A 15,017-nucleotide genomic window follows, 5' to 3' on the forward strand; every position below is an offset into this window, starting at 1 on the left:
TCCTTCCACTCCAGTAGGACACTGAGTGTGGGTGGCCCTTGCTAGGCCTGGTGAGAACAGGCTCCACTGAGAAGACGGAGCAAGGAAAGGCTGGGATTGCCAGGAACAGCAACTTTGAAGAACTCTCTTTCTCAGTGTGCCAGGAGGCCTGAGCGTTGTGGGAGGGCTTTCGTTTGAGGGCTGTTTCAACAAAGGATTTACTCATTTAATTACTTAAATGGAGGTAAAATCATACTGTCCTCCTTCAGGGACTGAGCTGCCCAAAGAAAAGTCATATTCTACAGGAAAAATTACTTGAAACAATTGGATCCTTGGCATTCAGCTTCCTCAATCTTTATTTTCCTAAAATATGTCTTCAAGAAAAGCCAGCTCCTGGGCTCTAAGTAAGCATAAGCTCTGATGGTAGCCAAGAGACTCATACATTTAGGATGAAAATCTGGCTTAGCAAGGACAGTAGGGAGGAAGGGACAACACACAGCCCACCCTGACAGAAGCAGCCAGACTTTGGACGTGCTGGCAAATAGCCTAACACACCCAATATGAAGTGCGAACAAGGAGATCCACTGCCATGTGTTTTATAAGAGTGCAAGAGAAAATAACTCAAATGTCCATCCTTTGGAGGCAGGATAAATCCGACAGAGTGTAACACTTGGAATGGTTCACAGAGAACGAAGTTCTTTATAGACTGTTATGGAAAGATCCCCCAAATACTTTATTAAGTGAAATGACACCAAATAATGGCAAGGTGCCAAACAGTGTTGATAGTGTGCTGCCTTCAATACAAGAAGGGATATTCAGAATATGTACTTAGATTTGCTTGAATTTGCACAAAGAAACACGGAGGGAATTTTTCGCATGGCTGCAAGGCAGTGAGCAACGGAGTCAGTGGCGTCAACTGGAGACAGTGGGAAACAGACTTCACCGGGTGCCTTTCAGTTGCTTTAATTTTTATACTGTGTGTATTCAAAATAATGATGAAATAATCACACAGAACTCTATGAAAAAGACATCATTTTCATTATACAAATCAACTGTTTTAAAAAAATCCCAGCCTGGACGACATGGCAAAACCCTGTCTCTACAAAAAACTACAAAAAAATTAGCTGGGTGTGGTGGTGCATGCCTGCTGTCTCAGCTGCTCAGGAGGTTGAGGTGGGAGGATCACTTGAGCCCAGGAGAAGGAGGTTGCAGTGAGCCGATATCGGGCCACTGCACTCCAGCCTGGGAGACAGAGCCAGGCCCTGTCTCAAATATATATATATATAAACATCTTTTTTAGAAACCCTTAGAGCAGATGACACAGATGACAATCTGTGTTGTACTCTGAAAAACCAACAGAACATTTAACAAACATTAATCCATATCAGGCCCCAATTCAACAAGTGCTGTGTGCTGCTCCCTTGTTCTTTGGGACTACACACGGTATGTCGAGTGGGGAATCTCTCCTCTTAATCTCTCACAATTCACCCACTGTTCAGGACCAGCCCTGACTCAGATCCCTCAGGCCACAGAGGCTGTTGCAACTCAGCCCCTGGCTCCCCACCCTGACGCTCTGGGTTATAGCCTTGGCGCTGTGAATCTCCTCTTCTACTGGCAAAGGCTCAGTCTGCACCTGGCTCCTTTCAGGAGATTGGACTCCCCAGCCCCTTTCCGCTCTGTTCATTAAAAACCACCACTGCAGCGGCTGGGCTCCCCGGGGCAGCCACCACAGAGGCTGCTGCGTTTGTTCTGATGTGAGCTGGATTCGGAGAGCTGGTTGGGTTCATTTCCTGTGCTTCCAGCCTCCTTCTCCATTGGCAGCACGCACTCACCATGGTAACGCTCAGGCCGCTTTTTGGAAACCCTCACTTCTCCTTGCTTAAAACTATTCAAAGAAAAATCCATCCAAGCCCGTCAAGGAAAAGGTACTTATTAAATACCTTTCCCAAAGTTAAAACATCTCCAACAAGGAGCTGTCTGAGGCGCCTTCGAAGTTGTGTGTCCCTGAGACACATGCATAATTAGGTTAAACATGGAGCTGGAAGTAAAAAGGCACCACACTTACCCAGAACAAGAAAAGGTCAGAACGCTACCCCTCTGTGAGCCCTCACACAAAAGCTCGGGAAATGGAGGCTGTGGTTTTCAGGCAACGGGGCACGCGCTTGGGTGCGGCACCCCGAATCGTTCCCGCTGCTTGATCGTCACGCTCTGTGAGCTCTTTCTAAGGTACATTTGCTATATTCATTAAAGGAGAGAACATTGGAAGCGTTTAAAATAAAATGCCTTGTGATTTTCAAAATCATGAACATTTCCAGCAGGCTGAAGAGAAAGGGCTTTCTTGGCTGCAATAAGAAAGAATGAGAAAAAGAGAAAACCTCCTGAAAAAAAAGTGGCGGGGGGTGGTGATGGGGTCCATGTGATGCTGAGGTTTCTGTTTGTTTTGCTGATTTTCAGTAAGCAGGATTTGTTTCTTTTTCACCTTCACTTCCGGTTCTGTATTTTGCAGCTGTCACTGGATGGTGGTTTGGAAGCCCCTCAAATTCAATTCAGAGCCATGTTGCCCATAAAATGTAAGGATTGTCCAATTCAACGCAGAAACTCCCATCTGTGAAGCCTTGGTATCGGGAGGGCTTATGAAATCAATAAAGCTCATCTGCCACCAAGGAGAGCCTCAGTTTCTGACAATGGAGGCTAGAACTTACAAAACTAAATGAAATTATTTCTTAAAAACTCAACTGCCCCTAATTTAAAAGGAATATGATAAGTTCAGAAATGAAGGTTTTTGATTACAGGATCCCAGGCCTATGAAAGAATGTCTGGCTACAAAAATAAGATTCCTGTTTTCTTACTAATTATAAAAGCACTTATTATGACAGCCCATAATTACTTAGATATGGCCATTCCAAAGGACAAATTATGTCTACTTAAAGGTAACTACAACAAAAACACAGTATAGCACAGATATCTACTCTACGCCTGTAATCCTGGCTCCTTGCTCTAGCATTAAAGTGGTTAAATGAACTGGCAAAATCTCTCATTAGGGGGAGCCAAGAGGTAGTTCCAGCATTTGGACCTACAGTGAAGTTCCAGCATTTGGACTCACAGTGAAGAATGCAGTCTCAGAAACACAAACCCAGACGGACACATCAGGTACCTAATTCACTCGGTGAAGTCTCACAGCTTCATCTGATGTTTACTCATGACACATACACACCCGCCCTCTCCCAAAACAAATAAGACTCTCCCCAGTTACTCACCTAGACCACCCTGACAAATGTCTGTGCGCGTGGCTCCACCAACGATAAACTGAGGGCTGGGACACAACTCCTGAAAGTAATTTGGAACAAAACACAAGTCACAAGGTGCTCAGTGATGGCAGCAGCCTGGGGAAAGGAACATCAGAGTCCCAGGTTGCAGAGCTGGAAGAAACCCAGGATTGTCTACTGCCCATCACATGGTTTTATTGCTGAGGACTCTGAAGCCCAGAGAGGGGATGAGCCCTGGTCACAGTCACACAGCCAGGGGTGAACAGAGCAGAAGCTGGAGTCCAGAGCCCCTGCCAGGACTAGTGTTTTCATTTTTTATTTATTTTTTATTTATTTTATTTTATTTTAAGTTTTTGAGACAGCGTCTCGCTTTGTTGCCCAGCCTGGAGTGCAGTGGCATGATCTCGGCTCACTGCAACCTCCGCCTCCCGGATTCAAGTGATTCTCCTGCCTCAGCCTACCACATAGCTGGGATTACAGGCACGTGCCACCACACCCGGCTAATTTTTTTTTTTTTTTTTTTTTGTATTTTTAGTAGGGATGGGGTTTCACCATGTTGGCCAGGCTGATGTTGAACTGACCTCAAGTGATCCATCTGCCTTGGCCTCCCAAAGTGCTGGGATTACAGGCATGAGCCACAGCACCTGGACAGGACTAGTGTTTTAATACTATATGTGTGGTGTGGGTGTGTGGGTGTGTGGGTGTGGAAAGGTGGTGAGGAGCAGGGAGGTAGGAGAAAGGCAAAGGCTGAGATAATATGTGATGAAAAATGATCTCACCTATTCAGACAACACCCCTATTTACATAAAGAGATTAGAAGAATATTTAGCAAAATGCTGTGCACCCTGTGGGCACTCGTTAAAGTCTTGACTAAATGATAATGACCCCATGTGCTGATGGACACACTGAAGTGTCAGAAGTACCATGTATCCTGAGATGAGAATTCATCTCTGATACATTCACATATCTGACCTGCACTTCCTCCACTCACCTATCTCAACTGGCATCTGCCTACAGCAATCTCATGGCCCTGGTGCTCTGTTGGGGCACAATGACACATGCTTTAGTCATGCTTTCTTTGTTTACCCAGCAAGGATTTTTTGAGTGCCCGTTCTGTATCCAGTACCCTTTGAACCATGGCAGGCAGGGGAAAGAGGGAAACATGGTGAAATGAAGAAAGAAAAGAAATAAACCACGTAGTTCTTGGCCTCAAGGTGCTTTTGCTGTATATAGCAAACCAAGATTGACATTATGAAAAAAGTCAGAGAAAAAAGGCTAGTGCATAATAATAGAATGTAGGCTATATCCACAAAGGGAGAAAAAACACAAAGAGAGAAAAATGAGAAGGGCCCAACAGGGATGATGGCTGCAAGACTTAGTGGGTGGGAGATGATGCCTGTCCATTAGAAAGGTAGGATGCAGGAGCAGTCTACGTACTGGTTCCTAAAGAAGAGATGGGTCTACCTGTTCACCAGGCAAACTGCTAGGGGAAAAGGGCAGGACCTCGAGGGACAAAACGGAAGTCAGCCTACATTTAATCGGTGGCATCCTGGGCTGCACTACATCAAAGACTGTCTGGCCACAGAGAGAGAGAATCATTTCATTCTTACTTCATAGAGGTGAAGAAAGGGCAGATCAGAAAGGACCAGGAAGCAGGAGGGTGGGCTGAGGGCAGATGCATGGGGTCTGGATGAAGCTGGCAGTGGGGATTCTGGGATTCTGCTGTGTGAGGTGGAACCTTCCAGGTGGCAGCCCCATAGCCTCTATAAGGTGCTGGCTCCTGCTGAAATGGCAGAAACAGCTCCTCTGGGCTGACTTTTTTTTTTTCCCAAGTATTAAAAAAAATTTTGCTGGGTGCGGTGGCTCACGCCTGTAATCCCAGCACTTTGGGAGGCTGAGGTGGGCGGATCACCTGAGGTCAGGAGTTTGAAACCATCCTAGCTAACATGGTGAAACTCCCTCTCTACTAAAAATACAAAAATTAGCCCGGCATGGTGGTGCGCCCCCGTAATCCCAGCTACTCAGGAGGCTGAGGCAGGAGAACCCAGGAGGCGGAGGTTGCAGTAAGCCAAGATCACGCCATTGCACTCCAGCTTGGGCAACAAGAGCGAAACTCCATCTCAAAAACAACAACAACAAAAATTTATTTACCTGTTTTTCATTGAAAAACTAATACATGAACATGAGAAAAAAAACCCAACAGTAAATAATGGTGTAAAACACAAAATCCCTTCCGCCTCAGAGTCCGCACTGGTAGCATTTCTTAAGTGTCCCTCCAGAAGCTGTCTTCTGATATGAAAGCATATTTATGTACATACACACGTTTTGGGTTTTTTTGTTTTGTTTTTTTTTTTTTTTTTTTTGAGACGGGGTCTCGCTCTTTGGCCCAAGCCAGAATGCAGTGGCGCGATCTCGGCTCACTGCAAGCTCCGCCTCCCGGGTTCACGCCCTTCTCCTGCCTCAGCCTCCTGAGTAGCTGGGACTACAGGCGCCCACCACCACGCCCAGCTAATTTTTTGTATTTTTTAGTAGAGATGGGGTTTCGCCTTGTTAACCAGGATGGTCTCCATCTCCTGACCTCGTGATCCGCCCGCCTCGGCCTCCCAAAGTGCTGGGATTACAGGCATGAGCCACCGCGCCCAGCCACATACACACATTTTTATCACATATGTCTTGTACGTATGTCTTAGGACATAGAGAGCTTTGTAACTTCATTAAAAGTACCATAAGTTATTTAGCTCGTTTATTTTCTTGCCATTTATTTATTTGTAAATAAAGGTTCTCTAGTGATGGACCTTTAGTTTTTTGTTTATTCATTCGCTTTCAGTCTTTTGCAATCTCTGGCGGCAACTTAAAGAGAAAAGTGGCACCAGCCAATCTGGGTGTTCTAAAAGTGTGCAGCTGCAAATGTTCACCCCGGGTGCCCAAGAGCTCCCAGTCTCCAAGCAGTCATTTTTTGGCAAATAAAAGGCAGAGAGATCTGATAGAGTAATAAGTAAAAAGAAAGAGAAAAAAATTTTAATTTAAATGTTGTTTTTAAAAAAAGAAGGAAAATGTTGTGTCGTCAAGAGGAAAGAAAAGACAGCACACTCAATAGGGGTTTGGAAGAATCTCTTTTCTTAAAAACTCTCTTAAAATAGGTTCTTGGCTGGGCATGGTGACTCACACCTGTAATCCCAGCACTTTGAGAGGCCAAAGTGTGTGGATCACTTGAGGTCAGGAGTTCAAGACCAACCTGACCAACAGGGCAAAACCCTGTCTCTACTAAAAATACAAAAATTAGCCAGGCGTGGTGGTGAGTGCCTGTAGTCCCAGCTACTCAGGAGGCTGAAGCAAGAGAATCACTTGAACCCGGGAGCAGAGGTTGCAGTGAGCCAAGATTGCGCCACTGCACTTTAGCCTGGGCAACAGAGTGAGACTCTGTCTCAAAAAATAAATAAATAGATGAATAGATTCCTGTTCTTCATCCGCCATTCATCCATCGGTCTACTGAAATCTGACTTCTACATCCATAGCTTCATAAAACTCCTCTCACCCATGTCATCAATAATAACTAACTTCTCTTTGCATTTGGTACCGTTGGCTATTCCCTCTCTGAAATTGACTTCCATACCCTTACTCATGCTTGATTTTCTCCTTGCCTCTCTGAGCATTTCTCCTCAGTCTCCTTCATGCATTCTTCTACTGTGCTTACCCCTAAGTATCAAGGAACCCCTGGCTCTTGGTCCTCAACCCTCTGAGATTATCCCATTTCATACAGCAGTAACACCCCTAAGCATTCTTCTCTCAGTGACATCATTCGACCTCATGGCTTCAACTATTAACTGCAGAATATGCTGATGCTTCCAAAATAACTCCCTGAGCTGTATCTTCAATTACCTGTGTCACATTGCTCATTTTTCATTAGATTCATATCTAATAGGCCTCCCAAGTTCTGCTAAAATGTTGAGTTTGGGTTGGAAGACAGAGTCATTGGCAAAGGCTACAGACAATTACAAGTGAAATATACAGAATGGTGCTAAGTGGTTTGTAGGTAGATGGAATGTCCATTTTACTACGTGGTACTCAGTATAATTCAAAAAATGCCCCCACCCCAGAAAAACACATACACACACACCAAGGAATGTCATGACTGATATGTTGCATGAATCTTTCAGGGACCACAGAAAGTCCCCAGCTTTGGGCTGGGCATGGTGGCTTACGTCTGTAATCCCAGCACTTTGGGAAGCCAAGGTGGGCTGATCACTTGAGGTCAGGAGTTTGAGACCAGCCCAGCCAACGTGGTGAAATCCCATCTCTACAAATAAAAATGCAAAAACTAGCCAGGCATGGTGGTGTGCACCTGTAATCCCAGCTACCCAGGAGGCTGAGGCATAAGAATTGTTTGAAACCAGGAGGCGGAGGTTGCAGTGAGCCAAGATCGCGCCACCGCACTCCAGCCTGGGTGATGGAGTGAAATTCTGTCTCAAAAAAGAAAAAGAAAAAGAAAATCCCCAGCTTTGCAAGGAGATTCCATCTCACTACGATGCCCAAAGAACTTACCCCAAATCTCTCCATTACTAAGTTCCTGTTGAAGCACAGATCAGAGATACAAAGTAATTGGGAGTCAGAGAGGTTTTAAAGAGGCAGGATTCTGTGAAGAGGCAGCCTGCCACCTACCCACACTTAGAACCCTTTTTTATCTTTCCTAATAACAATCATGTCTTTTTAGTAACACTGTTTTCTATTACTCAAGCGAGGATCTCAAAACACTCCATAAATACAAATTACTCTAACCTAGGATCAGCCTCTGATGACCAGGCCTAAGGAAATACAGGTATCAGTCAAGAATCCAAGGCAGAAAGTGACTGAAACCCACACTGTCTCAGTGATGATGGCTGTTTGGCCACACTGCTCTCCTAGAGCGTTAACCATGTCTGATAGCTTTGGTTTGCACTTTAGGAGCTCTGGTTTTTAGAACCCCCAGAGATGCTGCCATCTTCACCATCATCATCTTCAAGTATAGCCACATTGCTTGACCCAGCACCTCCATCCCTCTGTGATCTGGCCCCACTGGATGTTTCCAGCTTTGTCTGTCAGTTTCCCACAGTGAGTGATTATCACTCTCTTCCCATCACAGTGGACTCCCACCTTCCTCTGAATACACTTGCTCCCGATGCACTGCCACAACCCAGTACCTCTGCCCACACCTGCGCCTTCTCTTCAGTCTCTATCCCGATTCTCTTCCACCAACAATCCCAACTCAAACGTCTCCGGTAATTAACCTGCCCCAATGTCACTGTCAAATTTAACTGCTTCTTCCCCTGAACTCCCATACATTGTGTTCATATTTCTATTTATTTCACTCTCTGGATATTCTGTCTTGTAATAACAGCTAGATTTCCTTATTCAAGCATCCCAATAACCAAAGCCTCCAAAAAACAGTGAAGTGGGTAATATTGTTATCTCCATTTTATGGAAGAGGAAACTGAGTCTTGGGGTCATTAGTCATGGTTCCTCAGCTAGCAAATGGCCAGAGGGGACCAGAAACCTGATCTACCTGACGCACGAGCTCATGCTCTTAACCACTCTGTGGCCTGCCAGCTGTCCACTTGTCCGTATGTCTCTCCCTGATGAGCCAAAGCTCCACAAAGACTCCTCTCCAGCACCTGAACACAACCAGCACGCAATAAATCATGGCTAAACTGAAAACTCCAGATTCACTCCAGATGTAGCAGCTGAAGAAAGAGTGGAAGCTCCAAGCTGAGGCCTGTCACCCTCATCCTTATCCTAACCTCCCAACAATTCATCCCCTTGACATTTCTCTTAAACTAGGTCCTTATTATGCAGCTGACATCACTTCATTGCTGTCTTGCTGTATTTCTCCTTAAGATCAATAAACCACTTAATTGCCAAAAAGTGGACACTTCAGGGAAGAATATCATTGACTGCACTGCACCAGGGCCTGCTCATGCTGGGCATTCCTCAAACCACAGGACCTGGGCTGGGCATTAACCAAGCACAGAGGGGAAGCCAGAAAATAAGGAGGCAAAAATCTACCTGCTAAGAACACCCCCGATCTCACATAGCCAACCATGCTGTTTGTGGTAGGATTGTTCTTGCCCAACCCTAAATTGTCTCAGGATTGTGAATAACCAAAAGTTCATCCTGAGAACCTATGCTTGACCTTGAGCCCTTCCTCTGGGCAAACTTGTCCTGAAACCCTTGGGACAAGAGCTCAAGCAAATCTTTGCTCAATTGCTTATGAATAGGCAGAAACGCCCAGCAGGGGCAGGATGTCAAATGATGTGATTTCAGAAAATATCTAAGTATCAATCTTTATTTTATTATTGAGAGGACAAAAACATGTGTACATACATGTTCAACCCATCTCATCTGCTTTCCCCCAAAGGGCGGTAGAAATTAACGTCTGTGTGGGAACCAGGATCATATGAGTCACATTTAGGCAGTGGACTTAAAGCCCCCAACACTGAAGAAGTACAAAATCACCCTCAAAAGCAGCAGTGAAATAAAAAAGCAAACGACACAATTAAAAATGGGCAAAGGGGCTGGGCACAATAGCTCACACCTGTAATCCCAACATTTTGGGAGGCCGAGGCAGGTGGGTCACTTGAGACCAGGAGTTTGAGACCAGCCTCGCCAACATGGCAAAACCCAATCTGTACTAAAAACACAAAAAATTAGCCAATTGGTGGCAGGAGCCTGTGGTCACAGTTACTTGGGAGGCTGGGACACGAGAATCACTTGATTCTAGGAGGCAGAGGTTGCAGTGAGCCAAGATTGAACCACTGCAGTCCAGCCTAGGCAACAGAGTGAGACCCTGTCTTAAAAAAAAAAAAAAAAAGGCAAAGAACTTGGATATATGTTTCTCCAAAGATGATCTACAAATGGTCAATAAGCACATGAAAAGATGCTCACCATCACTGATCTTTGGGGAAATGCAAATCAAAACCACAATGAAATGTCACCTCACACCCATTAGAATGGCTACTATCAAAAAACAGAAAATGGCTGAGTGCAGTGGCTCACACCTGTAATCCTAGCACTTTGGGAGGCCAAGGTGGGCAGATCAACTGAGGTCAGGAGTTCAAGACCAGCCTGGCCAACATGGCAAAACCCTGTCTCTACTAAAAATATAAAAATTTGTTGGGCATTGTTACGAGTGCCTGTAATCCCAGCTACTCGGGAGTCTGAAGCAGGAGAATCACTTGAACCCGAGGGGCAGAGGTTACAGTGAGCCGAATTCGCACCATTGTACTCCGGCCTGGGTGACAAGACAAGAGTGAAACTCCATCTCAAAAAAGAAAAAAAATGAAAGAAAATAACAAACATTGGCAAGGATGTGGAGAAATAGGAACCCTGTGCACTGCTGGTGGGAATGCAAAATGGTGCAACCACTATATAAAACAGCACTGTGGTTCCTCAAAAACTTGAACGTAGAACTGCCATATGATCCAGCCATGGGTCATATCTTTTGGGTATATAACAAAAAGAACTGGAAGCAGGGTCTCAAAGAGAAGTTTGTATGCCCATGTTTGTAGCAGCATGATTCACAATAACCAAAAGTGGAAGCAACCCAAGACCAACAATGGACAAATGAATAAACAAAATGTGGTCTATAGACACCACAGAATACTATTCAACCTTTGAAAGGAAGGAAATTTTGACATATGCCACAACATGGATGAATCTTGAGGATATTATGCTAAGTGAGTTATGCCAGTCACAAAAGGACAAATACTGTATAATTCCACTTATATGAGGTACCCAACATAATCAAATTCAAAGAGACAGAAAGGAGAACAGTTGTCAGAAACTGGGGAGAAGGGCCAGGCGCAGTGGCTCACACCTGTAATCCCAGCACTTTGGGAGGCCGAGGTGATTGAATCACTTGAGGTCAGGAGTTCCAGACCATCCTGGCCAACATGGCAACACCCGATCTCTACTAAAAGTACAAAAAATTAGCCAGGCTTGGTGGCAGGTGCCTGTAATCCCAGCTACTCAGGAGGCTGAGGCAGGAGAATCGCTTGAACTGGGGAGGCAGAGGTTGCAGGGAGCCAAGATCGCGCCACTGCACTCCAGCCTGGGCAACAGAGAAAGACTCTATCTCAAACAAAAAAAAAGAAAGAAAGAAAAAGAAAAAAGAAAAGAAAGGAAACGAAATTCGGGGAAGAATGAATGGGGAGTTTTTAAATGTGTATTTAGTTTCTGTTTTGCAAGATAAAAACAATTCTGGTGATGGAGGGTGGTGATGGTTGCATAGCAATGGGAATGTACTTAATGCCACTGAACTGTGCATTTAGAAGGGGTTAAGATGGCAAATTTTATGTTATGTGTATCATACCACAATTTAAAAATAAATGAGTAAATGCAACAAATGAACTTACAATGCACCACATTTCTGGATACCCTGATCTCTTTGCAAACCCTTGAAAGGCCTCTTGGGAGGAAAAAATAATAATGAAGCATTTAGGATCAGGCTAATTTTCTCAGCATTCAATGCATGTTCCTCATAGAGATAGGATCAGAATCTTTACTGATTCAGGAGTCTATTCAATAACTGTAAGATCTTAGAGGATAAGTCTGCCTTCTCTAATGTACCCTTGTGGTATGTGAGCATGAGCCTGCCCAAAAGCAGCTGTGTGATAATTTTTCACTGATGATTAGGGAAGGAGAGGTTAAATTTTGACACGCATTTATTTACTCAACACGCACTTGAAAACTCCAAATAGGAGTCCTTCAATTGCACCTTCCGCATTACTCAGGTTCTACTGCCTCATGCTCTGAATTTTACTTCCTCCTTTGACAGCCACAAATCAGCACATCCAGTCTACAATTACCGCATTTCCACAGACCACGAGGACAGGTGAAGACATAGTTTGGGGAAGAACAGGCTATGTGGTTAAGGAGGTAAAGTCTCTAAGGATTTCAAAGAAAGGAGAAAAACTAAGCAAAGGTTAACTGATACCTGACTTTGGTCTCTAAAGGAAAATTTTCTCCCCCTCCTTCCTCTCCCCCAAGACCCTTGGGATCTGCAATGGTACCCCTCCCTAAGGCTTTTCACCACCCAGTTGTGACAACCCAGGTTCCCATGGCCCATCATTTATGCCTCTGTAGAGTTCTTACTTCATTCTGCCTTGGGCATCTGTCCTTTATTCACACCTGTGTCTCCCCACACTTTCCATCAGAGCTGAGACCACAGCTCCTTCCTCAGCTTCTCCCTGACCACCTTTCCAATCAGTGCAGAGCCCATGCCTGGCACAAAATGGAAGCTCAAAAAAACTGTCTGTTGAAATGAAATGTGGCTGTCTTGAAATTAGAATAAAAACCATTACTCCCAATCTGGATTTTATCAACATACCAGGGTAACCCTATAGGTTTCAGAGGGGAATGGGAAGATGAACCACGGTGGGCGGGAGGGCAGCATGGCCAAGGAGTTATTCTCAGAGATGAAAACTGTTAGGCAAAATCAGCAGGATCAAAGTAAAAAGGGTAGAGGTAGCTAGCTGGAGTTAAATAGTGATTTTGACCATTTTAGAAGAAGTACTCTCCCTTTGTCTTCCTGTTTCAACCACTGCCAAGAAAATAGGAACCCTGACTTAATTTCCCTATCATGGTTTAGAAGACAAAAGGTGCCCAGGTCATTTCATAGCCCCTCTCCTGAGACGTTGTTATGAGCTCTGTTGAACAGAGCACTTTGTATGGATGAGCTCAATTCTCACAACCACTCTGTATGGGAGAGGTTCTCATCCCTGAGGAATCACTTGACAAGGGTCACATAGTGATAGGTCATGGGTCTAGGTTTTGGGAGGACTGTTCTCCATCCCTTGCCCTTGAGCTTTGGGTAGTATCAGTAACCGCATCCAGGAGCCTCTGCCTTCCGTCTGCATCCACAGAGCCCCAGCTCCCACCTCTCCACTCACCAGCCCTGATGGAATAATGTCAATTCATGACCTTGCGCAACCGTGCACCTTTCAGCAATGATGTTGTCACAATTTACCTGCCAGCTGATTGCATCCAGCACTGAGTTGTTCCATTGTGCACTGGCCCAGGGACCATATGCAGTAATAACAACTACGTATTCTGCATCTATTATGTTCTGGGCACTATGCTCTGAGATTTATCTCTAATTCTCATACCAACCCTGAAAAATAAGGTGCCAGTAAATGCCATTTTACAGATGAGAAAACTAAGGTTCACAGAGTTTACCGGCCCAAAACAACACAGGCAGAGCTAGGATTCAAATCTATCTTACCTAGTTCCAAAGCTCATCCATGCTCTTCTCTCTATACCTCACCATCTCTGAACAAGAGTTCAGGCTGGGTGTAGTGGCTCACATCTGTAATCCTAACACTTTGGGAGGCTGAGGTGGGCAGATGGCTTAAGCCCAGGAGTCCAAGACCACCCTGGGCAACACAGCACAACCCTGTCTCTACAAAAATATGTAAACATTAGCTGGGTGTGGTGGCACGTGCCTATAATCCCAGCTACTTGGGAGGTTAAGGTAGGAAAATCACCTGAGCCCAGGAAGGTTGAGGTTGCAGTGCACTGTGATCGCACCACTGCACTCCAGTCTGGGTGACAGAGTGAGACTCTGCCTCAAAAAAAATAAGAGTTCAAAAGGTGATGGGGGGGCCAGATGCAGTGGCTCATGCCTGCTATCCCAGCACTTTGGAAGGCTGAGGCAGATGGATCACCTGAGGTTGGGAGTTTGAGACCAGCCTGACCAACATGGAGAAACCCCATCTCTACTAAAAATACAAAATTAGCCAGACATGGTGGCACATGCCTGTAATCCCAGCTACTCGGGAGGCTGAGGCAGGAGAATCACTCAAACCCAGGAGGTAGAGGTTGCAGTGAGCTGAGATCATGCCATTGCACTCCAGCCTGGGTGACAGAGCAAGACTCCATCTCAAAAAAATAAAATTAAAAAAGGTGGTGGTGGAGGGATCTGAAATATGAGATCCAGACACTTAGGGTCCACAGCCTCAACTTCTCCCTCAGTTCCTCCTGATCAGATGTAAGGCCCCTCCACCTTGTATGTCACTCAACAGCAAGCCCGCTTCCTTACCGTGGGCCGCTTCCAGATGATGCCTTGAGTTTGCGGAGAGCCTGGTCCAAGATCCTTGTAGCCCAAAGCTGATGGACATGCTGGGAACTCAGGGTCCTTAAATAGGACCCCTGAGTCCAAGCACTGTTGCCTCAGGGTCTTGAAATCCTGGCCCAAGTACTTCAAAGCGTTTTGGTTGGAGCCAAGACCTTGAGTGGCTGCCCGCTGCCTAGATACACCAGCTGCCTGGGCTGCCATGGCCGTGGGCTCTGTAGGGTGGACAGAAGGGCAGGGCTGCACTGTACTCTCAGACACCTGCTCCACTGGGAGGGGAGCTATAAGGCACTAAAGGAGGTGGAGCAGACAAACATTTCACCTGAGGCCCTGTTCCAGAAGGAAGTGAGTCATGGCCAGGGACAAATATGTACCCAAGGTCCAGGCCAATCTGCCCCACCTTCTTCTTCTGCCTTTTGCAAATAATTTGGGGTCTGGGAACTTTCCAGGGCCCATCCCAGGCCATTAGCCTAAGAAATCCATTAGGATCTTGACCCCACCCCGGCATTCCCTCCACACACCTCTTTGCAAGACCTGCTTACCTTGCTTCAAGCCCATTGACTGAGATGAGAAGGCTTATTGAGCAGCTTGAAGCAAATATTCATCAAGGAATTGGAGGCATGGCTCTGAGCAGGAAGAAGGCAAGTAGTTACAGGGGCCTCCTTTCC

General features: G+C 45.5%; 1 protein-coding gene across 3 annotated transcripts in view; it reads right to left on the reverse strand.

Annotated features, from left to right (window-relative positions):
• Positions 1–14,608, reverse strand: part of CAPN8 (calpain 8) — a 124,086-nt gene extending 109,478 nt beyond the window's left edge. For all 3 annotated transcript variants that reach the window (NM_001143962.2, XM_017001267.3, XM_017001268.2), the window contains exons 1-2: positions 14,317–14,608; positions 3,237–3,306 (exon numbers count right to left, since the gene is read on the reverse strand). In NM_001143962.2, the coding sequence (NP_001137434.1) occupies positions 3,237–3,306; positions 14,317–14,553 (307 nt within the window). In that variant the 5' untranslated portion in view covers positions 14,554–14,608. The remainder of the gene's footprint in view (positions 1–3,236; positions 3,307–14,316) is intronic.
• Positions 14,609–15,017: the final 409 nt, after the last annotated feature.

Source organism: Homo sapiens, chromosome 1 (genome assembly GCF_000001405.40).
Source record: "Homo sapiens chromosome 1, GRCh38.p14 Primary Assembly".
In the NCBI taxonomy this organism is placed as follows: domain Eukaryota; kingdom Metazoa; phylum Chordata; class Mammalia; order Primates; family Hominidae; genus Homo; species Homo sapiens.